The sequence below is a fragment of the Homo sapiens genome, chromosome 3 (genome assembly GCF_000001405.40).
Source record: "Homo sapiens chromosome 3, GRCh38.p14 Primary Assembly".
NCBI classification, from domain to species: Eukaryota; Metazoa; Chordata; class Mammalia; order Primates; family Hominidae; genus Homo; species Homo sapiens.
In genome coordinates this window covers 73,842,779-73,869,568 of record NC_000003.12, presented here as the reverse complement: position 1 = coordinate 73,869,568, position 26,790 = coordinate 73,842,779, and the positions used below count along the sequence as shown (strand labels likewise).

The window sequence follows — 26,790 nt, the reverse complement described above, 5'->3', positions numbered from 1 at the left end:
CTAAAAATACAAAAAATTAGCCAGGCATGGTGACACACGCCTGTTGTCCCAGCAACTTTGGAGGCTGAGGCAGGAGAATCGTGTGAACCTGGGAGGTGGAAGTTGCAGCGAGCCAAGATTGCACCACTGCACTCCAGCCTGGGCAACAGAGCCAGATTCCATCTCAAAAAGAAAAAAAAAAAAAGTTGAAGTGGAGGGGAATGTCCATTAAAATATCTAGTTCAAAGTGTCTCAAATTAAAGTATTTCCCAAACAAGCTGAAAATAACATTTGTTAAATGAAATTAAATATTTGTATTGAATTTGACCATTCCTTAAACGCTACTAAACTCAACATTTCCTGTGGTCAGACCATGCAGATCTCCTCTTATGATAAACGGTAATTGCCAAACGATTATAGGTAAATATTCCCCTGTCATTTCTTTTGAGAGGGAACCTACTAGGTTAATGTGAACTGGGCTAAAAATATTGATTCCAGAAATGAGTATGAAATGTTGTGATTTCCAATTATTCTAAGAAATTGGTCTTTGAAATCCTGAATTATGAAAGGATAAAGTGGCTCCACTTTAATCTGTGAAACAGGACTCTATTTAGACTCCATAGTCAAGTTCCTAGGAAAAAACTTTAGACAGGAATAATGGTTGGCATCTAATGTTGTTGACTGGTGCCCTCCAGTGGCAAAACTTCATGGAGTGTTCAATCCAGTAAAATTCAAAGTGTCTTCTGTTTCAATTCTCAGGCCTTTTGAACATATGAGCCCAAACTTTTTAAGAGCCCAATAGTTGGGAATAAAACCACAAAGGCTTTAGACTGTACTTGGTTTTACACTGTATGGTCATAAAATGCTAGAGAAAAAGGTTGTTTGCCTTTAAAGTAAGGCTGGAAAAAGACCGAGAGCCACAGGAGATTATAATGACTTGGCAGGAAGATATTGGGCAGGCATTTTAGAATCTTCAGGCTGTATCCTCACCCTTTCCCTGTTGTATCAAACTCCTTTATGGTATTATTTCCTGTTTAGCTGGAAGGAATGACATATCCCCAAATGCGCAGGTCCTGGGCATTGAGGAGATGCCAGTTATCCTGCCTGTTAATATGAATGTGCCCTGAGGATACTGATGTTTTTCACATGACAAATGTCTAGCTTTGGATGTCCTAGTCATACTGTGGGTCATTTATTTTCTTTCTTATTTTAAAGTCTTTTCTTTGGAAGGCCAAGGCAGGTGGATGACTTGAGGCCAGGAGTTCAAGACCAGCCTGGGTAACATGGTGGCCCAGCTATTTAGGAGGCTGAAGCAGGAGAATGGCCTGTACCCAGGAGGTGGAGGTTGCAATGAGCTGAGATCACGCCACTGCACTCCAGCCTGGGCAACAGAGTGACACGCTGCCTCAAATAATAATAATAATAATAATAATAATAATAAAAGTCTTATCTTGACCTCCTCAGGATGCTGTGTCCCTGGGCCCTCTCTGTTTCCTTTCTGATCTCCTACATTGCTTTCCCCCACCTCCCACCGGGGTCTTCCTTTTAGCATCCATCCATGTCCTCACTTCCCTTTGGGTCTGAAGGGGAAGACAAACCTGTCAGCCATCAAGAGAGGACCAGACTCCCTCTAAATTCTTGAGGATCTTGATATATTAAAATATAAAGAAATGCCAAGTTATATTTAGTGGTATATTTTGTTTCTGAAATTGGAGTCTGTTTTCCTGTTAATAATTTTGACACAAATGCAATATAATTGTCTTATTTGTAAGATGATTACAGAGACTATTTTTAAAAATCTAGCTCTAAGTGTACTAAGAGAAGGGTGCTCCAGAACTAGGTCACAGGTATGAAAGTATATGATGACGTCATTCTTCTTCAATCCTGTCAATACATCTCTCTGACAATAAGTATGAATTTGTAGAGAAAATATGATAGCATTAAAATGCAGTTGCGGCTAGGCACGGTGGCTCACACCTGCAGTCCCAGCCCTTTGTGAGGTGCAGTGGGCAGATCACTTGATCTCAGGAGTTTGAGACCAGCTTGGGCAACATGGCAAAACCCCATCTCTACCAAAAATACAAAAAATTAGCTGGCATGGTGGCACATATCTGTGGTCCCAGCTACTCAGGAGGCTAAGGTGGGAGGATCACTTGAGCTGGGAAGGCAGAGGTTGCAGTGAGCCGAGATCACACCATTGCACTCCAGCCTGGGCAACAGAGTAAGACTCCATCGCAAAGAAAAAAAAATGTAATCGCCTACTGGGTTCATCTTCCTGCCCACTGCATGGACAAATTGATTAACTGAGACTGCAAGCATTGCAGTAAAGAGTTTAATTGACACGAGGCTGGCCACATGGACATAGTTACCACTCAAATCAGTCTCCCGGAAGGCTTGGAGATTAGGGTTTTTGCAAGCATAATGTGGTAGGCAGGGGGCTAGGGAATGGGGAATGTTGATTGGTTGGGATGAAATCACAGGGATGTGGAAAATGTTCCCTGTGCACTGAGTCAGCCTGTGTGGGGATCACAGGACCAGTTGGGTCATGAGTTGCCAGTCTTGGTGAAGTCAGCTGCTTGTCAGAAATGCAAAAGTCTGAAAAGAAATCTCAAAAGGCAAATCATGGGTTCTACAATAGTGATGTAACCTACAGGAGAAATTAGGGAAGTCACAAATCTCATGACTTCCAAACGGTAGCTCATTATCACTTAACTATACCAACATCTTAACAGAACTCAGGTCCCTCTCATAATTCTAACCTTGTGAATTTTCATTGGTTTTACAAAGGCAGTTTAGTTTGGGGAAGAGCTATTATCATTCTTGCTTTAAGGATAAACTATAAATTAAATTCATCCCAAAGTTAGCTTGGCATATACCCAGGAATGACTAAAGGACAGCTTAAAGTTCAGAAGCAAGATGCAGTCAACTATGTCAGATTTCTCTTACTGTCATAATTTTGCAAAGGCGCTTTCAAAAAGTCTAAAATTATATATCAATAGTCTAAGCCCTTCCTGAATGTGAACTGTGGCCCAAAGGGTGGCTCAACTTGCTCTGGGAGAGTGAGTAAGAAGTAGGTATATCTATGTGACTAAACAAGGAAGCCAGTTTGGGCACAGAAATGTGTTGGTATTGAGGAAAGTATTTCAATTAGGACAGATAGTTAGAAGTCTCTTAGTAATATCCAACCACAGAACCCACAGTTAATTCAGATTCAAAGTGCACAAATTTTAACTGCACAAAAAGAATGTGAGTCTCCTCATCCCTGCATCACAGATTTGGGGAGAGCATGTATCATTACAGTGAAAATAATCACCTGGGACTGGAGCCGATGGTTAAGGACCTTTGTTTTCAGATGCTCACATCCACTAGAGATAGTTTATATTCTAATGATTTTATCAACTCTTCCTAATATTTTATACCATCTAGAGGAAATAGGAAAAGCTAATTATAGCTTACCTTCATTATCCTTGTCATCATAGTTAAACTACTCCAGTCTGTGTTTGCAGATTGACATAGGCAAGCAGACTTTTGAGTGTGAATCAGAACAACTATTTTAGGAAATAACGTTACTATTCTCTGTACCAGTTATCTCCCTTCCTTCTCAGAGCCCTCTGAGAAAGGATGGGGGTCATTCTCACTCAGCCTAGGTCACACAGCTGCCTAGAAGATGTGAGTTTCTTGACTCCCAATCTCATTATCTTTCCATTTTGCCAACTTAAGAGTTAAATAATAACGACTCTCCTGTTGCTAAAATGTTACACATAATCCCTCTCCATTACTGCAATATTTTAACTAGAATCTACCCCTTCATGGATTTTCTTGCTAAGTAATGCTTGAAGAGAAATGTTCAAAGTCAGTACTCCAACACTAAGGAATCAAGACAGAAAAGCAATGGTACAGTTCAGAAAGATCAAAGTTTGGGGAGGTCATTATGGGAATTTATTTCATTTTGAAAGAATACAGGCAAATGCTTGTATTTAGGGTGTGAACTAATTGGCGATATGCATATAGTGGCATAATTTAACATCTCTTTCTATTCAGTCAGTGATTCTTAGCCTGTTTTGGATCACAGACACCTTTGAGGAGTTATAGAAAGCCATAGACCCTTTCCTCCCCACTTCACCCCTGACCCAAATCACATAGGCACTAAAGGTTGTATTCAGTTCCAGGGGATTCACTGACCTAGTTTTAGAATCCTTATTCTAGATACATGGCTCCCGACTGTACAATGTTTCCCTTGGGGGACATTTAGAATGTCTGAAATATTTTTGGTCTTCACAACTGGGAAGGCACTACTCACATCAAATAGACAGTTGTCAAAGACATCTGCTAAATAGCCTATCATGAGTTGTGCTGCCCCCTTAACCAAATACGTTTTTGTTCAAAGTCTCTGAAGTGCCAAGGTTGAAAACACCTGCTACGAATCTGCACTGTCCAATACAGTAGCCAGGAGCTACACAGAGCTCTTGAAATTGTGGCTAGACTGAATTGAGATGTACTAGAAGTACAAAATACACACCAGATTTCAAAAACTTCATACATAGCTGTAAGATATTGCGTTAATGATGTTTTGTATTGACTACATGTTGAAATAATATTTCAAATTTACTTGGCTAAAGAAAATGTATTAACATAAAGTTCATCTGTTTCTTTATACTTTTTGTAATGTGGCTACCAGAAAATTTAAAATTACATATTTGTCCATAGCTGTGGATACATTTCATTGGATAGACATGCTCTCGATGCTTTATAAAATTGAACTATTGAAAACTAATTAAGATTCTGATTCTAAAGCAAGGGTGAGCAAACTAAAGCTAAAACTCATCCACTAGGTGTTTTTGTAAGTAAAGTTTTATTGGAACACAGTCACACACATTTGTTTGCCTATTGTTAATGGCTGCTCTCACAAAAGCAGAGCTGAGTAGTTGTGACAAATACTGTATGGCCAGAAAACTCTAAAATATTTATGATCTGGCTTTTTACAGAAAACATTTGCCAATCCCAGATCCAAGGTCATGTCCACTACAGGGGCGGGATAAAAACTTTGCCATCCTGACAGTAGTAATATTTCCATATTTAAAGTAAGTAAATTTGGGACATTTGAAGAAGAGCTGGCTGAAAGGATGGAAGGCAGGTGTAACAGAACACACTAATTGGCTATGCTGTCCTCATATGACTGTATTTTATGTTGCTATTCAACTGGAATATGGCTCTCTATGACGGAGAATAGGAAAGATAATATCTCCTGTTAAAAATGGGTCATTGAGGCCGGGCACGGTGGCTCACGCCTGTAATCCCAGCACTCTGGAAGGCCAAGGTGGGCAGATCATCTGAGGTCAGAAGTTCGAGACCAGCCTGGCCAACATGGTGAAAACCCACCTTTACTAAAAATACACAAATTAGCTGGGCATGGTAGTCCCAGCTACTCGGGAGGCTGAGGCAGTAGAATCGCTTGAACTCGGGAGACAGAGGTTGCAGTGAGCCAAGATCATGCCACTGCACTGTAGCCTGGGTGACAAAGCGAGATTCCGTCTCAAAAAAAAAAAAAACAAAAAAAAAAAGGAAAGAAAGAAAGAAATGAGTCCTTGATTCAGCCAACAAGTATTTATTGAGGATCTAATATATGCTAGGCACTGTTCTTAGAGTTGGAAATACAACAGTGAACAGAAATAAAGTCCCAGCACTCCTGGGGCTTATAGGCTACTGTGACAGAACACCTCTCTGAGATAAGTGAAATATCAAGAATGTCAAGTATATCAAGAAGAATACTCGAGTATGTCAAGTGGCGATAAGTGCAAAGAAATACAGAACAAGTTAATAGAATAAAGAGCCTTGGGGTAGAGGTGATACAATTTGATTCGGAATGCTATTGTCATGGAAGGCTTCTCTGAGTAAGCACATTGGAGGGTGTGGAAAACACAATTGTAAGCCTTCCCTAAGGACAATCTGATACTATGTGTCTAAATCTTAAGGGTGACCCAGTAATTCTACCTAGTTATTTAACACAAGCAATTATGGAAACTAGTGTTCCAGAATGTTCCCTGGAGCATTTTCACCATAATAAAAAAAAAAAAAGGAAACTACTTAAGTATTCAACTAAGTTTATTAATATAAACAATGTACATGGCATAGTAAGCTTTTTAAGAAAAAAGTATTATATTAATACTTATATAATTCCAGTTTCATAAAAATATAAAAGCATTGTGTTTGCAGAGAAAAAATTCTTAAAGTCTTAACCCAAATGTTAGGATCTGTAAAAGGTCAAATTTTAGGTGTCTCTTACATGCATCTGTATATCTCTCTGTAGCATCATCTTTTAAAAATAACTCATAAACAAATAGTTATAAAAAAAAGAAAGGAGACAAGGCCTGGTGGCTCACGCCTGTAATCCCAACATTTTGGGAGGCCAAGGAGGGCAGATGGCTTGAGCTCAAAAGTTTGAGACCAGCCTGGGCAACATGGCAAAACCCCATCTCTAGAAAAAATACATAAATTAGCTGAGAGTGATGGTGCATGCCAGTAGTTCCAGCTACTTGGGAGGCAGAAGTGGGAGGATCAACTAAGCCCTGGAGGTCAAGGCTGAAGTAAGCCTTGACCACACCATTGTACTCCAGCCTGGGTGACAGAACAAGACTGTTGAAACTGCCTTTGCAAAATTATGACTGAGACAGTGAAAGAGATCTAACTGACTCCACCTTGCTTCTAACCTCCAAGCTGTCTATTCACTCCTGGGCACAGGCTGAGCTAACTTTGGGAGAAACTTAGTTTGTAGTTTATAGTTTAAACAAGGACGGTAACAGCCCTTTCCCAAAGCATATCTCCTTCTTGCCTGGGGACTAGACTAACATTATCCACAGGATTAGAAATTATGGTTTAGGAGTGACGCAGCTGGAGGCTGCAAGATTCTGACCCTCCCTAAACTGCTGCTGAGATCAGTGCTTGAGATATTTTGCAGACCCTGTACTTGATTGATCAGCTGGTACCACCAAGATCGGTAAACTGGCTCATCTGATCTTGTGGCCCCCACCCAGGAACTGACTCGGCGCAAGAAGACAGCTTCTACTCTGATTTCACCGCTGACCAATCAGCACTCCTGGCTCACTGGCTTCCCGCTACCCACCAAGTTGTCCTTAAAAACTCTGCTCCCCAATGCTCCGGAGGCTGATTTGAGTAACAATAAAACTCCAGTCTCCCACACAGCCGGCTCTGCGTGAATTACTTTCTCTATTGCAATGCTCCTGTCCTGATGAATCAGTTCTGTCTAGGCGGTGGGCAAGGTAAACCCCTTGGGTGGTTGCACTGTCTAAAAAATAAATAAATAAATAAATAAATAAAAATACAAATAAAAGAGAAGACTGAATTTGTCAAATATGCACATTAAAAAAATTCCCTTTAATGTGAATCCTAAGTATGATAATCTTCCACTGAACCATCAGGAGCTAACAATGAGGAGTAAGAGAATTAACTTAATGAACACAATGAATTGTCTTTTTAAGCAAATCTAGTAGATTCTAGGACACTGTTCTCTTATATTATCTACCAGAGAATAAAGGTCAATCCAATTAATTCCTTATAACACAGCCATGTTAAAAGGCCCAGGACATCAATGAACCAATGGGAAACTCCAGAGAAAGCAGACAACACCCACCAATTGCAACTGGCAGTTATAGATACTACAATAACCAAGACAACTCAAAGTTACTAGAGCTTCTCAAAGTTCAGTCATGAGACCTCTACAGGAGTATCATTTGATAATGGTGATGGTTAGGGAGAGGGAGGAGAAGATGTGTGTTTAAAATGTGGAGTCGGCCAGGCGCGGTGGCTCACGCCTGTAATCCCAGCACTTTGGGAGGCCAAGGCGGGAGGATCACCTGAGATCGGGAGTTCAAGACCAGCCTGACCAACATGGAGAAACCTCGTCTCTACTAAAAATACAAAATTAGCCAGGCGTGGTGGTGCACGCCTGTAATCCCAGCTACTCTGGAGGCTGAGGAAGGAGAATCACTTGAAGTCGGGAGTCAGAGGTTGCAGTGAGCTGAGATCACACCATTGCTCTCCAGCCCGGGCAACAAGAGCAAAACTCCATGTTAAAAAAAAAAAAGTGGAGTCTTGGGTCCTACCCACAACATTACCCAGGTGGGGTCCATATTTTGCATGTTTCAAAGGTTCCTTGACTAATTCTTATGCGACCAATCTCTTTAAGCTTACAGCTGCTTACACTGGGCAGAGAAAAAGGAAAACCTCTTCTGACTATCTAGAGAGATGTTATTTCTGATCAGAGTCCTTGAGAAAAGAAAAGATAAATTGGGACTTGCCTAATTATCAGTTAATTATTGAAGGAAGCCCTCTTGCTTATGTATGTATAAGTCTCAGTTCTCCCTACAGGGCCATTGTAAGCAAGAGTCCTTTGGCCTACTTTTGAATATTGCTGATACATTTTGTCTGAGAACTGACACCAACCTAATTTCCTGCCCCTGGTGAAACAATTCTGGGACCAGGCATATTTTCTCATGTGTGTATTAAACAATATTGAGAACAAGCAAAATAAATAGCTGCCTGTTTCTGGAAGGAAATACTTATTCCTGGAAGCTAGGACTGCCTACAAATTAAAATAGCTTACTTATCAAGATGCATGACTTGCTCATTAAGACTTATTCAAAGCCAGGTGCTGTGGCTTACACCTGTAGTCCCAGCTACTCGGGAGGCTGAGGCAGGAGGATCGATTCAGCCTGAGAGTTTGAGGCCAGCCTGGGCAACAAAGTGAGACCCTATCTATTAAATAAATAAGTAAATTTTTAAAAAAGACTCAATATAAAACCTTCTTCTTTCTGAGTCCTCCAATGAAAGCTAATATGTCAAAAAATATGCCCAATCCCAACCATTCTCTACCTTGCAAGACTCAGCTTAAAAGCATTCAAACCCTCCATCTCTTCCCTGTCTTTCCTGTTTTAAAACACTACAAAGACTCTGCCATGTTGGGGGTTTCCCTTATTGGCAACAGGCCTACTACACATGGTTTGGCTTAATCAGCAGCCTATTCTGATGGCCCTTGAGATTTTGAAGGTCCAGATGTTATCATTTCAGTTGATGTAGGTTGGCATACTTCAGTCTCCCTGAGGTGCCTGCTGGATATAATTCTTTTTTTTTTTTTTTTTTTTTTTTTTTTGAGACAGAGTTTCACTCTTGTTGCCCAGGCTGGAGTGCAATGGTGTGATCCTGGCTCTCCACAACCTCCACCTCCTGGGTTCTAGTGATTCTCCTGCCTCAGCCTCCCGAGTAGCTGGGATTACAGGCATATGCCACCACGCCTGGCTAATTTTCTGTATTTTTAGTAGAGACAGGGTTTCTCCATGTTGGTCAGGCTGGTCTCAAACTCCCAACCTCAGGTGATCCGCCCACCTCAGCCTCCCAAAGTGCTGGGATTACAGGCATCAGCCACCACGCCTGGCTATAATTCTTAAAATTCGGTTTTCAAGCTTCACTGTGTCCCTTTCAGGAAGACTTTTAACTTCTCTTATTCCCAGCTAAGGCTCTTGGCAAACATCCCCAGCTAAGCTTGTATATCAAAGTATCCAAATAAGGCCAGGCACAGTGGCTCACACCTGTAATCCCAGCACTTTGGGAGGCCGAGGTGGGCAGATCATCTGAGGTCAGGAGTTCAAGACCAGCCTGGCCAACATGGTGAAACCTCATCTCTACTAAAAATACAAAAAGTAGCTGGGCGTGGTGGTGCGCGACTGTAATCCCAGCTACTTGGGAGGCTGAGGCAGGAGAATTGCTTGAACCTGGGGGGCAGAGGTTACAATGAGCGAGATCGCACCACTGCACTCCAGCCTGGGTGACAGAGCGAGACTCTGCCTCAAAAAAAAAAAAAAATCCAAATAAAAAGCTGAAAAAAAAGGAAAGAAAGAAAGAAACCAGATCTGTTGAAGTTCCTCTAAGAGTCTCTTCTAGTTTAACTTCTAAAGATGCTTGTGAGCAGGGGCAGCTGAGTTCTACCTTCTGTTAACTTTCATAGTTCCACAGCTGTGTTACTGATGCTTAGGAATTAGAGTATAAGCCCCAAGCTTAGTGGAGAAGACAGACGAACATAAGAGAAGTAATCCCAGCCCTATGGGAGGCCGAGGTGGGTGAATGGCTTGAGCTCAGGATTTCGAGACCAGCCTGGGCAACATAGCAAGACCCTGTCTCTACAAAAAACACAAAAATTAGCCAGGCATGGTGGTGCAAGCCTGTAGTACCAGCTACTCTGGAGGCTGAGGTGGGAGGATCACTTGAACCCAGAAGGTTGAGGTTGCAGAGAGCTGAGATTGCACCATGGCACTCCAGCCTGGGTGCCAGAGTAAGACCCTGTCTCAAAATAAATAAAATAAAAGCAACAAAAAAAAAAAAATGCGCAAATGAAGAGCTTGGGCTTTAAGTCAGACATATCATAATAAATATTTGTCTCTCCTCTTTGCTGCCTATGAGATCTTTGGCATCTCAATGTTCCCAAACATCAATGTATTCAACTTTAAAATGGGAAAAAAAAATTGTACAGTAAGGATTACATGATAAAGCTTAAACACAAGCTCTAGAAATGGTAGCTATTATTTTATTTTTATAAATCATACCTGAAAGCTCTCAGATGAAATTTGAATGCTATAACTTCAGATTTACATTTTAAATATTGGTTCTGTCTCTTACTAGCCTTGTGTCCTTGAGTAATTAATCTCTTTAAGTCTTAGTTTTCTCATCGACAAATCTGAAAACACTACTATCCCCTTGCTATGGTCTGAAAGTTTGTGTCCCCACCCCCATCAAATTCACATGTTGATACCTAATCATTATTCAGAAGGAGGGACATCTGTTTTTTGTTTTTTAGGGAAAAGAAAAGAAACCTAATCATTGATGTGATGGTATTAGGAGGTGGGCCTGTGGGATGCAATTAGATCAGGAAAGGGATTAGCACCCTTTAAAGGAGGCCCCAAAGAGCTGCCTGACACTTTCTCCTATATGAGGACACAGTAAGAGAGTGCCCTCTATAAGGCAGGAAGTGGGCCCCCACCAGACACCAAATCTGCTGATGCCTTGATCTAGGACTTCCCAGACACCAGAATGGTTGGAAATAGGTTTCTCTTGTTTATAAGCCATCTAGTTTATAGTAATTTGTCAGAGCAGTCCAAATGGACTAAGACGTCTCTCAATAATAAATAAAATAATGTATTTAAAACACTTAGCACATTGATCCATTCAATCAATTTATATTGAAAACACAGACTCTAGAGTCAGACTACTTATATATTAAATTCCTGTTCACGTACCTTGTTCAAGGTACTTGAACTTTCTGTGCTTAATTCATAGATTATCCTGTGTACTGAATTTCCCTCAGAAACAGAGATTTTTGAGATCACTGCAGTGAAACCCACCATTGTAGTAAGGCAAGGTTCATCTCCTTCTCCCTTCCACAACGTCTCTGATGTACATCAGTTTGAACTCTAGGCCAACTTTCAAAAAACAAAGAAACTCCTACAGTTCTAAGTCTTTGGCTTTTCTCTGTGAATCACAGCTACCTTATTAGGTTTCTCCCCCTTTGTCCTCCTTCTTTTTCCTTTTTGTTCTATGCTTCTGCATGCATGTTTTAATCAGAGATTTTTAAGAGACTTATCCACAAAGTAGTCAAGAAAGAGAATTTTAGGACCAGTGATCTGATACCTCTTCCGTGACTGAAAATTATAAAATCGGAAGTATGTTAGGAAGAAAATATTTCCATGGTCTGTTAAGATATTCAGAAGCTTTTCACTAGAACAAGTTTGCATTATTTAACTTCTCCAGGAGCAGGCAAGAAAAATATCAAGAGTCTGCCTTTGGGGAGATGCCATTTCATGAGCGATGAAGCAGTAATGAATGGTAAAGATGGAATATCAAGGAATCATTTTTAAGGGAGAAATGCAGCTCTAAAGCTATTCGGTTCAAGAGACTGACATAGGATGTCCTTACTTTCAACTCTATTTTTTCCAACCACCTATCTGTCCATGCATATTCATTTAGTGACTACAGCAGGCAGTGTAGTATTGAAAAGAAATTACAGGCCATTCACGGTGGTTCATGCCTGTAATCCTAGCATTTTGGGAGGCCGAGGCGGGTGGATCACCTGAGGTCAGGAGTTCAAGACCAGCCTGGCCAACATGACAAAACCCTGTCTCTACTAAAAATACAAAAATTAGCCAGGCATGGTGGCCGGCGCCTATAATCCCAGCTACTCAGGAGGCTGAAGCAGGAGAATCGCTTGAACCCAGGGGGGTGGAGGTTGTAGTGAGCCAAGATCATGCCACTTCACTCCAGCCTGGGTGAAAATGAGAAACTCCATCAAGAAAGAAAGAAAGGAAGGAAGGAAGGAAGGAAGGAAGGAAGGAAGGAAGGAAGGAAGGAAGGAAGGAGAAAGGAGGGAGGGAGGAAGAGAGAGAGAGAGAAAGAAAGAAAGAAGGAAAGAAAGAAAGAAAGAAAGAAAGAAAGAAAGAAAGAAAGAAAAGAGAGAAAGAAAGAAAGAAAGAAAGAAAGAAAGAAAGAAAGAAAGAAAGAAAGAAAGAAAGAAAAGAAAGAAAGAAAGATAGATTACAGCAAGTGCATTGAAGTTGTGTCCAGAGCAAGCACAATGAGACAGCCCAGGAACCTGAAGCTAGAGTCAATATTGAGTATGCTGGGACAATGACAGTAAAAAGGAACTGAAGGGAAATTATACACAGAGCATACTTCAGACCACCTCAGTCTGATGGAGGACAAGGATAATGTCCTATTACAAATTTGCAAAATAAACTTAGAGGCATGATTCAGTAAAGATGTGAGATTTCACCTATTCAAGCACATGATCTGAATTTGCATCTGATCCTGAAGTCCTTGCTTCTAACCACTACACTAGTGTCCCTTTAAAATATTTTGTATGTCTGAACAAAAAAATCATTGATAAAATCCCTTTTAATCACACTTTGGTATCTTTTCTTCTCCCATGAAGGCTTCCCAGATTCGTAAGTCTGTTTTAGCTTCCTGCCTTTGTTCTCCCATAGCAGCCAGTTCCTCTTCTAAAATGACTCCAATCATTTCATATCATTGCTGCCTTGTCTCTCTCTCATAGTGGGATACAGGCTTCTTAAGACCAAGGACCACCTCTTGTTCTCTGTAATCTCCCCAGTGCCTGCCATATTATGAATGCTCAGTAAGTGACTGTTGAACATGGTGATGGATGGGCGAATGGGTGGATACATCTGTAAATGATCAACACACTGAAGGAAGTCACCACATAACTGTTTACCTAAGAAATGTCTATGATAATTAACATAAAGGTAAATAGTAGTCAGATTGGCTACTGTTTGTCAACTTAGATGTCAGTTATTGATTGAATTGGAATTTGTATTCCAAGGTATAATGGTAAGTTTAGTCCAAGCAAGGAGGCGGTAATTTGATGGTTACTGCTCCATTCTGTCATCTCCAGGGCCAGGCTCCCTGCCCCATAACCACAGCTCTACTTTCATCCCCATGCACATGTGTACTTTGAATACATACAACTCTAACCCAAAGTGGCTACTGCTCAGCTTTCTCCCTGTGATCTAGCCTCAGGCAAGGAAGCAGCTGGAGCTCCTCTGCTGCTCCTTTACAATTCTTTACACCATGCTAATGGGAAAACAAGGCAAGTTATAAAACACCATTCACTGTAGGACCCCACTTGGGTTAAAAAAAGAAAGAAAGTCTCTTACATGTGTGTAAAAAAGATAGAAAGGGCATGCCCAAATGATAATGGTAGGTATTTCTGGAAGTAGACAGACGACAGATGGAGAATTTTCTGGCTTTTTATCCCTATTTCCTAATCTTTTCTATAACTATACTAGATTTCTGATAAAATAAAAACAACACTTAAACAATAGCAATTCTGAATTCACAGCAACAATTGTGATGACTATTGCTTTATCATTCAATATATACTGCCTTTCCAATTCACAGTAAGTTCCTTGGGATCCGGTCACGTGATGCCCTGAAGTGTCAACTTCTTAGCCCTTAGCAAAGTGCTCTGCAGAGCAGGGTCTAGATAGCAAACAAATGAACTCTCAGTTTCTGTTTATAATTCGAACACTCATGCTTAGGAATTTTTCAGATTCTCCTCCCAAATTTTGTGAAAATCTAAAGGATATTTGTACATTTGGGGATTGTCAGTCCTTGGAATAATGTTGGCTTGAGGTCAGAAAGAAGAGAAAGTAAATGCCCAGTCAGTTATGCAAAAATATGCATTGATTCTGATGAGCTTTTAATGGTAATCCTTTTTCATCTTTTTTCCTCATTTTTCGTAAACACATTATTTTCCATTGCAAAGCAGACCTGTCTTCATGGTGTGTTTGTGCACAGGCTGAGAATCCAGGGAGAGACAAGGAAGCCAATGTTTACTTTTAAATTAATCCATCTCTTCTGAAAATGCCAAATGTGCATGGCCATAGCAAGACTGTCAGGGTCTTACTCAGAATGCATTTCATTAGGACTGTCATTTCTCCTGGGCTTCCAGCAGACCTGGTGAAGAGCTGACCTCAGGCCTCAAGCAGGGTCAACTTCAATCATAAATACCACAGATGAGTACAGTACAGGAGGACTATCATGTGGCTGGATCTTGAGTTGTGCCTCAAAAATTAGGGCTATGTATATATCTTCCAAATGGAATCAAGAGAGACTCCTCACACAATATGGAAAGAAACTTCCAGGAGAACAGGGAACAAAGAGTTAACAGCACAAGCTTTGCCATCTGGTAAACTTTAATTCAGTGCTGTGCTCCACTGGACCACTGTGGGTCAATGTCTCTTAACCTCATTTTCCTCATTTGTAAAATGTGGATATTGGTGGCTAGTCCACAAATTCCCTGAGAGGTTTAAAACAGATGACATGTGTGTTTCACTTAGCAAACTGGCAGTGCCCAAAAGACATTTTTATTAACATGAACAGTTGTAGCACAGCAACGTGCGATAGTTGAAGAAAAAAGCCAAAACACCATAATGAGAGAGAGGCTGTGGGTCCAATCTCTATTTTGCCACTAAGTACATCATCATGGACAGTTGTGTAATTTCTGGTTCTCAGTTCCTTCATTGGTGAAATAAATAAGTTGGCCTGACTTTAGGATTGCAAACTGGCCGACTACCGATGTGGTTTATTTGGAAATTGGAGAAATTCCCCCAAAATTGAGAAATTTCTCTAAAATACCTATATGCCTGGTTTCTAACAAAACTCAGGAGAGCATTTCCATATGGCTATAACTGAGCAGCAGAAAGCTTTTAAACAGGGCATCTACTCTCCAGTTCACCACAGTCTCCAAAAGTTCTTATACAAAGATCACCTAATTAATTTGCATTAATTTCCTGCTCCCTGTAACCATTTAGGTTTGCAACCCATGGATGAGACCAGTGGTTCTTAACTTGGGTGCATGTTAGCATCACCTGACAACTATTTAAAAAATAATAGTGCTGCAGCCTCCCCGAGACCAGTTAAATCAGAATTGTCAGTAGAGTCTGGACATCTGTATTTTTCAAACCTGTATCATTAAAAAGCTCTTCAGGCATTTGAAATCCACAACCAGGGTTAAGAACTGCTAGACAAGGTGTTTTCTATGATTGTGTCAATGAGGTAGTATCTTGATTTCATAATCATTCATTTTAATACCACTCTAGCCTACATGTATAGACAACTATTATATAAAAATTATAATATATGTTCAAAATACAACTACTATTCATTAAAACATGATGAAACACAGCAAATGAGAACCTAAGTTAATTCCGTCTGTGTCTTCCCTTTAATAGCCACAAGAATTTGGAGATTAATTTTTTGCTTATCCCCAAAATTATTTTATTTTTAAAAAAATATACAATCTTTTGTCACTTTTATGTTTTCTTTTTTGCATCTTATTAGTTACCAGTTCCTACATGAAGCTTTGAAACTTTTTCTAGATTTAATGTTTCGATGTTCTCCTGTAATTACTCTAGGCAAGGAAGAAAATGCATGCTATTACTCACATGCCCCATATTGCAAAGTAACATTTAAAAAAGCCATTAATTTCTTTAGAGAGGGACACCATTTCCAAATTCCAAAATATTCTCTTTACCCTCCCTTTTTCCTTTTGGTTCCTCTGAATATTTAGAGAACCTTCTAATAAATTTTCTCATCTACTTACAACTTTTAAAGTTTATTTTAATGCTCTTAAACTTTTAATTAAGAAAAGGAACATGTCTGATTTTATTACTTTAATTCACTTACAGTTGAATTTTTCATTTCTATCCACTGTGCTGTCTACAGAGTTTGGAGCAAAAAGTTCAAAAGCAAAATTAAGGTTGATATAAAGCAGTGATTTTCAATCCAGGGAGATGTTGCCCCCCAGGGGGCATTAGGCAATGACTAGAGATATTTTTGGTTGTCATGACTGGGTGTTGATCCTGCTGGCAACTAATGGATAGAAAATAGAAATGGGGTTAAACATCCTACAATGCACAGGACCTCACAACAAAGGGTAGGCTGACCCAAAATAATAACGGTGCCTAAACTGAGAAACCTGATATAAAACTTTTTTTTTTTTCACTTTGCTCCACATGGGTAACTAAGTTGTGGGCTTTCAATCCCTGACCATGGAAAAATCATTAAGAATATGCCTTCAGTTTAAAAACGTGAACTATTATTCTGCCCCCCTTCAAAGAACTTTGTGCTCTGAAATGAAGGGATATGTACAAATTCTGGCCAATTAGTCTGTGGCTTATTTAAGAACAGGAAGAGGACAAGGTGTGGCAAGGACTCAGGAAAGGAGGCAACCAAAAGAAAAAGTATTTCATTATATTTATGCTAATTCTTCATGCTTTACGTCTTCATAAACATGGGAAATTTGTGTGGAGAATGATAGCTCTTTCATGGGAAATGAGAACTTGCTGGTATTAACTGGCATAATTACAAACTGGCATGGGGAATCTGTGCATTATACTGTTTAAAAAAATGCATTATCCACAAAGAATGACCAGAGGTCTGTTCAAAAGACATATGGTCAATTTCTAAGACTTGAATCCTCTGGCTTTTAAGATGATGCTGGGTTGAAATGCACGTTCTTGAATTAGGAGTTCTCATGGACCACAGTTATACAGGATTCATGATTTTTTTTTTTAAAGATGGCTTTTGAAATGTGACTGGGATCAGATGAAAAACACCCTATAACAGCTTTTTCTTTTTCTTTTTTCTTTCTTTCTTTTTTTTTTTTTAGAGACATGGTCTCACTCTGTCACCCAGGCTGGAGTCCAGTGGCATGATCTTGGTGCTCACTGCAGCCTTAAGCCTCCTAGGCTCAAGTGATTCTCCCATCTCAGCCTCTAGAATAGTTGGGAGTACAGGCATTCGCCACCATTCCCGAATAATTTTTGTCTCACTTTGTTGCCCAGGCTGGCCTTGAACTCCTGGGCTCAAGCAATCCTCCCACCTTGGCCTCCAAAAGTGCCTGCAGGTGTGAGCCACCACACATGGCCCCAAAACACCCAATAACCGGTTTCCTTTGGTCAGAACTGCTAAATTTATTTGGTAAAGGGTTCTTCTTGTCTCTAGCTCTACCTGGCCATTTCACGAAGCTCAATGAATACATCAGGAGTACAAACTACAAATTAGGTAGTGCATGTTTCAGATAAAGGTTGAAAGAGATAAGAACAGATAAGACACATCATGGGACCAAACCAAAGAAAACACACCTTTGGGCTGGGTCTAGCCCACAGGCCACTAGCTTGAAACTGATAGACAAATAAGCTCTAAAGTCCTTTTCAGTCCAAAAATTGTATGGTTTTATTTTTAGCAAGAAAACTCATTGCTGCTAGGCATATTTTTAAAATGCGGTTATTTCCCTTATTGTGTCATTTCCCTGCTCAAAAGTCTACAGTCTACAGTTGTTCCCTACTGTCCCTCAAATTAAATCCAAGCTTCTAAAAATGCAGAGCTCTACAATCTGGTCCAAGCCTCCCTTTCCCCCCTAATTTCACAGCATCTTCTGACATTCATTCTAGCTTTCAGCCCCAGAGGATTTCACGTTGCCTCAACCAAAACATCACCTTCCTATCATACTTCCCTTCCCTATCATACTTCCCCTCCTGGAGTCTTTCTTTGCCCAATCACTATCTCAAAGCAGACTGCTCTCTCCTACCCTGTCTTGTCCAAAGCCCATCATGCTCCATTCTCAAATGTCTTCCTTTTCAAGTCCTTCCTAATTCCCCCAGAGAGATGACTATTATCCTTAACACTTGAATACACCTCTGGCCACAATCTACCTGACAGGGTGAAATAGATAAGATTTTAGTCCTGGGCATCAGCTTTACCATTAGCTAGCTCTTAACTCAGGGCAATTTATTTAACCTGTTAAACCTCAGCTCCCTCACCTCGTTAATGAGCATGTCACCCAGGTTTGAGCTGTAACCCTTGTTCTCAGCAGGTGACTGCTTAATCTCTCCATCAGTTGTGCTTAGTTCACAAGTTGGTTTCTATAAGAAATCTAGTTATACCATGCAGTGTAGAAGCTCATGCTTTTAAGTAAACACCTCTTTTACTTAAACAAGTATTTATATCATCTTCAAATTCTTCCCTCTACCTCTCCCACCCCACCTCCTCAGCACTTTAACCACTCCCCCAGTTCTGATTTTTTTCTCTCTTGGTCTCTTCAGACATCGTAGATGTATCCACTTTGATTATGCAGAAAATTTCACTCTGTCTGTGATCCTACATTCATGCTTACAATCCTGAAGTCATCTTCCATTTTCATAAAACAAGGAAATTCTTGGCTTCTTAGAAAGTGCCGGAATTGCAGTGCTATTTACAATAGCAAAGGCATGCAATCAACCTAAATGTCCATCAATGATGTACTGAATAAAGAAAATGTGGTACATATATACCATGGAATACCATGCAGCCATAAAAAAAGAATAAGGTCATGTCCTTTGCAGGGACATAGATGGAGCTGGAGGTCAATATCCTCAGAAGACTAACACAGGAAAAGAAAACCAAATACCACATGTTCTCACTTATAAGTGGAAGCTAAATGATGAGAACTCACGAACACACTGAGGGTAACAACACACACTGGGGCCTTTTGGAGGGTGAAGGGTGGGAGGAGGGAGAGGATCAGGAAAAATAACTAGACTTAATACCTGGGTGGTGAAATAATCTGTACAACAAACCCCCATGACACAAGTTTACCTATGTAACAAACCTGCACGTGAACCCCCAAACTTAAAAGTTAAAAAAAAAAGTAATGGAGATATTAACAATTTTTTGCTACTAACAATAGTAGTACCCATCTTATGGTATTGTCATACAGAGATGTAATCCATATTTATGTGTTTAGCATAGATCCAGCGCATAGTTAAGTGCTCAAATCTTAGGATACTGTGATTACAGTTCATCTTGTTTTGTCTTATAAGATTATAGACACGTTAAGGGGAAGACCCTTATTTTATTCATCTTTCAATAAATAGCACAAAATTCTGTTCTCTGCCTTGGCTCCACATCAGTCACCTAGAGACTTTGAGCAAACGCTCAGGTCCCCATTCCACATCAGGCACATCAGAATGCCTCAAGTGGGGGCCTGCGTATCAGTGTTTTCCAGGTAACTTTACTGTGCACCCTGGCTTGCAACAACCATTTAACCTATTACCTTACATGCAGCAATAATAACTGCTACTGCAGGTCTCACTCTTCTTACAGGATAAGCATTATCCTAAGCGCTTTTTTGCCTGGATTACCTCATGACAGTAGTTGCTAAAGATCCCCAGGTAATTCCAATATACAGCCGAGTTTGAGAACCGGTTCCTTATTAAACTCTCACTACCGCCTCTTGCAGTAGAGTGTGTTGTTATCCACGTCTTACAGTGAAAACTGAGGTTTAGGGAGCTTAAGCAATGTGCTGGAGTCCTTCAGACAGCAAGTCAAGGGTGAAGATGAAATTCTGACTTCATTCACAGGTCTCCAGGCTTTCTTAGGAGGAAACAAGTAAGTGTTGCTAGGTTGAGTTCTCTTGCCCTTAGCCTCACAGCAGTTGTTGCTAAGTGGGAGAAATGTTCTTGTGATGCTCCATTTTCTTTTCCCTGTCACAACCCAGGTCATGTTTTTCACTAGCTGTTCATATTGGTACTGCATTTCTACCCTCTCCATGATGCTTCTTAGCCAAAGAGATTTAAAAGCCCTGATATGTTATTTTGTACCATAAAACAAATCCTGAGATCTTGGCATACTTAAAGGAGGACATGCCTTGATTTCAAATCCATATTTGCAAATAAGAATATTCTCCCATCCTGTGCATTAAGATATTTGGTAATAATAATGACCTACTTTTGTTATACTGCTTTATAGATTTTAAATGAGGTAAGGTGGAATAATGTCTCTTGAACTCTAAAAGGTTTGCAGTTTGGGTTCTAGCTATGCGTGTGAGTAAAATTTTAGTTACCTAAGAGATTTAGCTTAATCTCATAAATGATTTTAATGTAAGAGAAAGTAGAAAACAATCTAAGCCAACATTTCCCTTAAAGTCTTGATAGAAAAAAACCATAATTCTCTAGCTGGAAGAAAGAAGTAGCCAAGTCATAGTGTTGCCAACACATAAAGTATATGTTTACCCAAATGAAATATTTTTGATTTGCTAATTTATGAAGCTGTGCAGTTGGGCTAGGCTTTTCTCACTGGTTCCTCCTTCTCCCTACACTACTGTAAGCATGCAGGATTCACCTTATCCCCCATTCACCTGCTCTATAGAAGCCCCCACTTCCAACATCCAGATCAATGGTTCTCAAGCTTTAGGATACATCAGAACCACCTGGCCAGCCTATTAAACCACAGCGTTCTGGACCCCACCCCCAGAGCTTTTGATTTGCAATTCTAGGAGGTCCAACTATTTGCATTTCTAAAAAGGTCCCAGGCATTGCTACTGATCCAGGAATAACACTTTGAAAACCATTAAGTTATATGATCAAATGATCTATTAAAAGCTGAAAAATTTGTGCTTTTTCTGAAATTTCAATAATCAGGAGCATGAGGGTAAAGCATGAATATCTTTTCATGTCTAAAGAAGCACTTTGACTAACAGGTGCTGACAATAATATATTAACAAAGCAACAAGTATTTATTGAGCCCTGCTACAGTCTAAGTAGATGCCCCTGCGTCTACTTAACATTGGCAAAAGCAACGAGGTATTGTGAGAATTGTAGCAGCCCTGGTTACCTGTAGGTGGCAGAATATTCTAGCATAAATGACTTTTTAAATTTTTCTCGTAAAATGATTGATAACTTTCAGAAAGATTTACCAAAATCACTGTTATTTTTAAAAAGAGAAGGAAACATTTTAAAGTATAATGGATATAATATTCTATACAAGAAAAGGAATGTTATAATTTGCATCATGTATTTGGTAGGTATTGAAAAAGCAATATTTAATAGTGCTTATGAAAAATAAGTATTAAACACTATATGCAAAGCTATGTATTAAGTGTTTTACATGAGTTCTGTGGCTTAATGCTCGTGGCAAGCCTATAATGTTAATATTCCGGTTAAATAAAAAAGAAATCTAAGGCTCAAAATTCTACTCATTCTTCAAGTCCTGTTACATGTAGGCTTTTAGTTGTTTCATAAAGCTTTTGCTTAACATCCCTTTATAGGAAGCAATCTCGTGCCTTCTTCCTCCTCTCCATCTCTCATAGTAGTTTTCATATTGTTTGTTGGATTACTGGTGTTCGTGTAATCATCATATTCCTCCTTTGCAAGAATGTTGTAAGAATTAAAATTTTAAATGAGGCAATGTATATAAAAGTAATTTGTAAACACACACACATACAAATTATTATAAACATATTCTGTTTAGTGAGTTGAATGGTGGACCTTGTAAAAGAAAATCTCAGAACCCCAAAAGGAAAAAAAAAACTAAGCTGAAAGCTGAGTCCTGCAAGAAACTGCCTTTCCTTTTGTTCCTAAGCAGATAGTTACAGACGAAAGGTAAGATATCTCCACAGCGAGCTGCTCTAGGTTCACTTTATCTTTATGTAAAGTGATGATTTACTGAACATGAGTCAAATACACGATTGACTATTCTGCTCCTTTTCTCTTACAACATGTAGATTCAGTAATATGACCATACCCTCCCCCTTTCCCCTCCAGCCTGCTTTTCCCCTTTAAATATTGAAGCCCTCAAAATCATCTTTGGAAAAAGGAACGGACCACAGACTGCTTCTGTGATTGTGTATTTCTTTTTTTTTCTGGGCATGTTCTTAACCTTGGCAAAATAAACCTCTAAATGATTGAGATCTGACTCAGATACTTTTGGGTTTAAACCCCAAAAATGGTATGTTCACATCCTAATCTCCAGAACCTGTTAATGCAACCTTATTTGGAAAATGAATCTTTGCAGACGTAATTAAATTAAGGATCTCAAGATTAGATCATCCTGGATTATCCCAGCAGGTGCTAAATCCAATGACAAGTGTCATTAAGAAGACATACAGAGAAGACAATCACAGAGAGAAGAGAAGGCAATTTTAAAACACAGGCAGAGACTGGAGTTAGGCAGCCAAACACTGAGGAAAGTCTGGAGCTATCGAAAACTGGAAGTGGCCAGGCACAGCGGCTCATGTCTGTAATCCCAGCACTTTGGGAGGCCGACGTGGGAGGATCACTTGAGATCAGGAGTTCAAGACCAGACTGGCCAACATGGCGAAACCCCAACTCTACTAAAATTACAAAAATTAGCCTGGTGTGGTGGTACTCACATGTAGTCCCAGCTACTCGGGAGGCTGAAGCAGGAGAATAGCTTAAACCTGGGAGGTGGAGGCTGCAGTAAGCCAAGATCATATCACTGTACTCCAGCCTGGGTGACAGAGCAAGACTCCATTTCAAAAAAAAAAAAGAAAAGAAAAAGAAACTGGAAGAGGCAAGGAATGATTCTCCTCTAAAGCCTTGAGAGAGAGTATGGCCCTGCTGACACCTTGACTTTTGGACTTCTGGCCACAAAACTTTGAGATAATTAATTTCTGTTCTTGTAAGTCACACAGTTCATGGCAATTTGTTACAGCAGCCCTAGGGAATCAATCCACACTGTAATAATAAAAGCTAAGATTTATGGAGCTCTCAGTACATGCGTGCCAACCCAACACATAAGTTTGTTCAATCCACATAACCAATCTATTAGTTGAGTCCTCTTAGAATCCATATTCTATAAACCAAGAAACTGAGGTCTAGAAAGGTTAGGTAACTTGCCCCAGGTCACACAACTACTAAAGGGCAGTTAAGAGACTCCAACTGCAATTGCCCTGACTCTAAACATCCGTCCAGCCACTACCTTTAAAACCTTTTGGTGTACTATAGGAAATAAAAGGTGAAGAGACATTCCTCCTTTGTTTAATGAGTAGGTTCATAACTTTTTAATGAAGGAGGATTTAACAAATTCAGAAGGAATGTTTTCTTAGTAACATTGTCTTAATGGCACAGTCATTAAGATTGTTAGGAAGAAATTTTGTTTTAGGTCTATTAGCAAGATAACATTGGAGCACAGAAATTGTCAAACCGAACACAGTCCCCACGATGTGGAGAAGAAAAATCAGAATCTCCATGGGGAGGTGATGCAATTATAGTTTGAAGGAGCATATTCAAAGTTACAATTTTATATTTCTTAGGTGAAAAGAGTTACTTTTCTTTTTAATATTTGTTTATTAGATAGGGTCTTGCTATGTTGACCAGGCTGGTCTCAAACTCCTGACCTCAAGCAAAACTTTCATCTCAGCCTCCCAAAGTTCTAGGATTACAGGTGTGAGCCACCTTGCCCTGCCAATTTTTTTAACTTAAGGAATTTTCTTCTGGAGTCTTCCTTTAATTTCATGTTCCTCAAAGTGTAGCCATTACTTGTTTGTTTGTTTTTTCAATTTAAGAGATAAGGTCTTGCTATGTTGTCCAGACTGGTCTCGAACTCCTGGCCTCAAGCAATCCTCTAGCTTCAGCTTCCCAAAGTGCTAGGATTGCAGGCGAGAGCCACCATGCCAAGCTAGTGAAGCCATTTTACTCCAAGTGCCTACTTCACCTAAGTGCTTGGTTTGTTGTTCTTGTTGTTTTTAAAAAAGAAAACTCAGGCCCAGACCTACTGAATCAGAATCTCTGCATGTGAACCTGGGTATAAGCCTTTTAACAAGCTCTGAGGTTGAGCAATAAGTTGGAGAACTCCTGCCTTCACATTGTCCACAACTATGGTGCCACCAAAGGAAGATTTCATATTACAGCAGCCCTAGGGAATCAATCCACACTGTAACAATAATAAAAGCTAAGATTTATAGAGTTCTCAGTACATGTGCACCAACCCTACACATAAGTTCATTCAATCCATATAACCAGCCTGTTAGTTGAGTCCTCTTAGAATGGAATTGGTTTTACGTCAGTCGGTGGATTTCAGATAGGGTCTTAATGCCACTAGTCACTTTCTAATCTTGGGCATCAAAACCCTGAAACTCAGTACAGTGAGTGGTGTACCATCTTTATGCTAGGAGAGTAAGGGTGGTGGATGGTAAATTTTAATGTAAAAACATAAAGCAAAAATCAGTGATACTTAAAATTACTCTTGAAAAAGGAAAATAATTTCGGTTGCCCAGCATTGAGAAATTTCTGCTTCTTCCATTGTAAATGAAGACTTCTTGCTTTTAAGGAGTGTGTGTGTGTGTGTGTGTGTGTGTGTGTGTGTGTGTGTGTTGGGAGGGAAGATAAATGCATCTTTGAATACTTAACTTGTTCTCACCCCAGTGTGATTTGTTTTTCACCCAGTGAGAGGAACAAAGTGGTGGCGATTAGGGGCAGAATAAATAACAGGTCTACCTCTTCTTCACACCAACTCCTGGACACAAGATCTTTATGTAGAACATAGAACAAATTTGGAACATCATTTTTTTTCTCCCTTATTCCTTCAGCTTCTTTCTCCCTTTCTCTTTTTGCCAAAGGACTGTCATCAAATTCACATCAGTGAAATAGATTAATGATGGGATTCCAATACATTCTCCTCCGAAAAATGGATATCTCACCTTGAGAGTGTTTTAAATTACATCCTTAGTGCAGTGTCTGGCATGTCATAAACATTCAGTAAAAGGGAGTGATCTTTTTCAAAGCTGCTCCTGCTACTGTCATTAGTGTCAGGGATGTTTGAGAATTAAACAAAATATATATCTAAGAAACCTAGACTACAGTAGATGCTTTCAAAAATAGCTAGTATAATTATTTTCATAGCATGGCCAAATACCTAGGCCTTGAAGATGCTGAAGACATCCCTGCAGATTGCCATCCTGTATATGAGAGGAACATGTCATACTGGCTACATGAAGGAATTATGAGTTTCTGTTTACATGGAGGGTTTTTTTCATCTCATATTAGAATTTCTATCAACAAAGAAGTCTTTCCTTTGAGAATAAAATACCTAGGAATGCAACTTACAAGGGATGTGAAGGACCTCTTCAAGGAGAACTACAAACCATTGCTCAATGAAATAAAAGAGGACACAAACAAATGGAAGAACATTCCATGCTCACGGATAGGAAGAATCAATATCATGAAAATGGCCATACTGCCCAAGGTAATTTATAGATTCAGTGCCATCCCCATCAAGCTACCAATGACTTACTTCACAGAACTGGAAAAAACTACTTTAAAGTTCATATGGCACCAAAAAAGAGCCCCCATTGCCAAGACAATCCTAAGCAAAAAGAACAAAGCTGGAGGCATCACGCTACCTGACTTCAAACTATATTACAAGGCTACAGTAACCAAAACAGCATGGTACTGGTACCAAAACAGAGATATAGACCAATGGAACAGAACAGAGGCCTCAGAAATAACACCGCACATCTACAACCATCTGATCTTTGACAAATCTGACAAAAACAAGCAATGGGGAAAGGATTCCCTATTTAATAAATGGTACTGGGAAAACTGGCTAGCCATATGTAGAAAGCTGAAACTGGATCCCTTCCTTACACCTTATACAAAAATTAATTCAAGATGGATTAAAGACTTAAATGTTAGACCTAAAACCATAAAAACCCTAGAAGAAAACCTAGGCAATACCATTCCGGACATAGGCATGGGCAAGGACTTCATGTCTAAAACACCAAAAGCAATGGCAACAAAAGCCAAAATAGACTAATGGGATCTAATTAAACTAAAGAGCTTCTGCACAACAAAAGAAACTACCATCAGAGTGAACAGGCAACTTACAGAATGGGAGAAAATTTTTGCAATCTACTCATCTGACAAAGCGCTAATATCCAGAATCTACAAAGAACTTAAACAAATTTACAAGAAAAAACCGCATCAAAAAGTGGGCAAAGGATATGAACAGACACTTCTCAAAAGAAGACATTTATGCAGCCAACAGACACATGAAAATAATGCTCATCATCACTGGTCATCAGAGAAATGCAAATCAAAACCACAATGAGATACCATCTCACACCAGTTAGAATGGCAATCATTAAAAAGTCAGGAAACAACAGGTGCTGGAGAGGATGTGGAGAAATAGGAACACTTTGACACTGTTGGTGGGACTGTAAACTAGTTCAACCACTGTGGAAGACAGTGTGGCAATTCCTCAAGGATCTAGAACTAGAAATACCATTTGACCCAGCGATCCCATTACTGGGTATATACCCAAAGGATTATAAATCATGCTACTATAAAGGCACATGCACATGTGTGTTTATTGCGGTGCTATTCACAATAGCAAAGACTGGGAACCAACCCAAATGTCCATCAATGATACACTGGATTAAGAAAATGTGGCACA

The 26,790-nt window shown here is 39.7% G+C and overlaps 1 long non-coding RNA gene across 1 annotated transcript in view; it reads right to left on the bottom strand.

The window, feature by feature from the left end:
• Positions 1 to 26,790, bottom strand: part of LINC02005 (long intergenic non-protein coding RNA 2005) — a 70,378-nt gene that overhangs the window by 10,053 nt on the left and 33,535 nt on the right. The gene's annotated exons all lie outside the window — the stretch shown is intronic.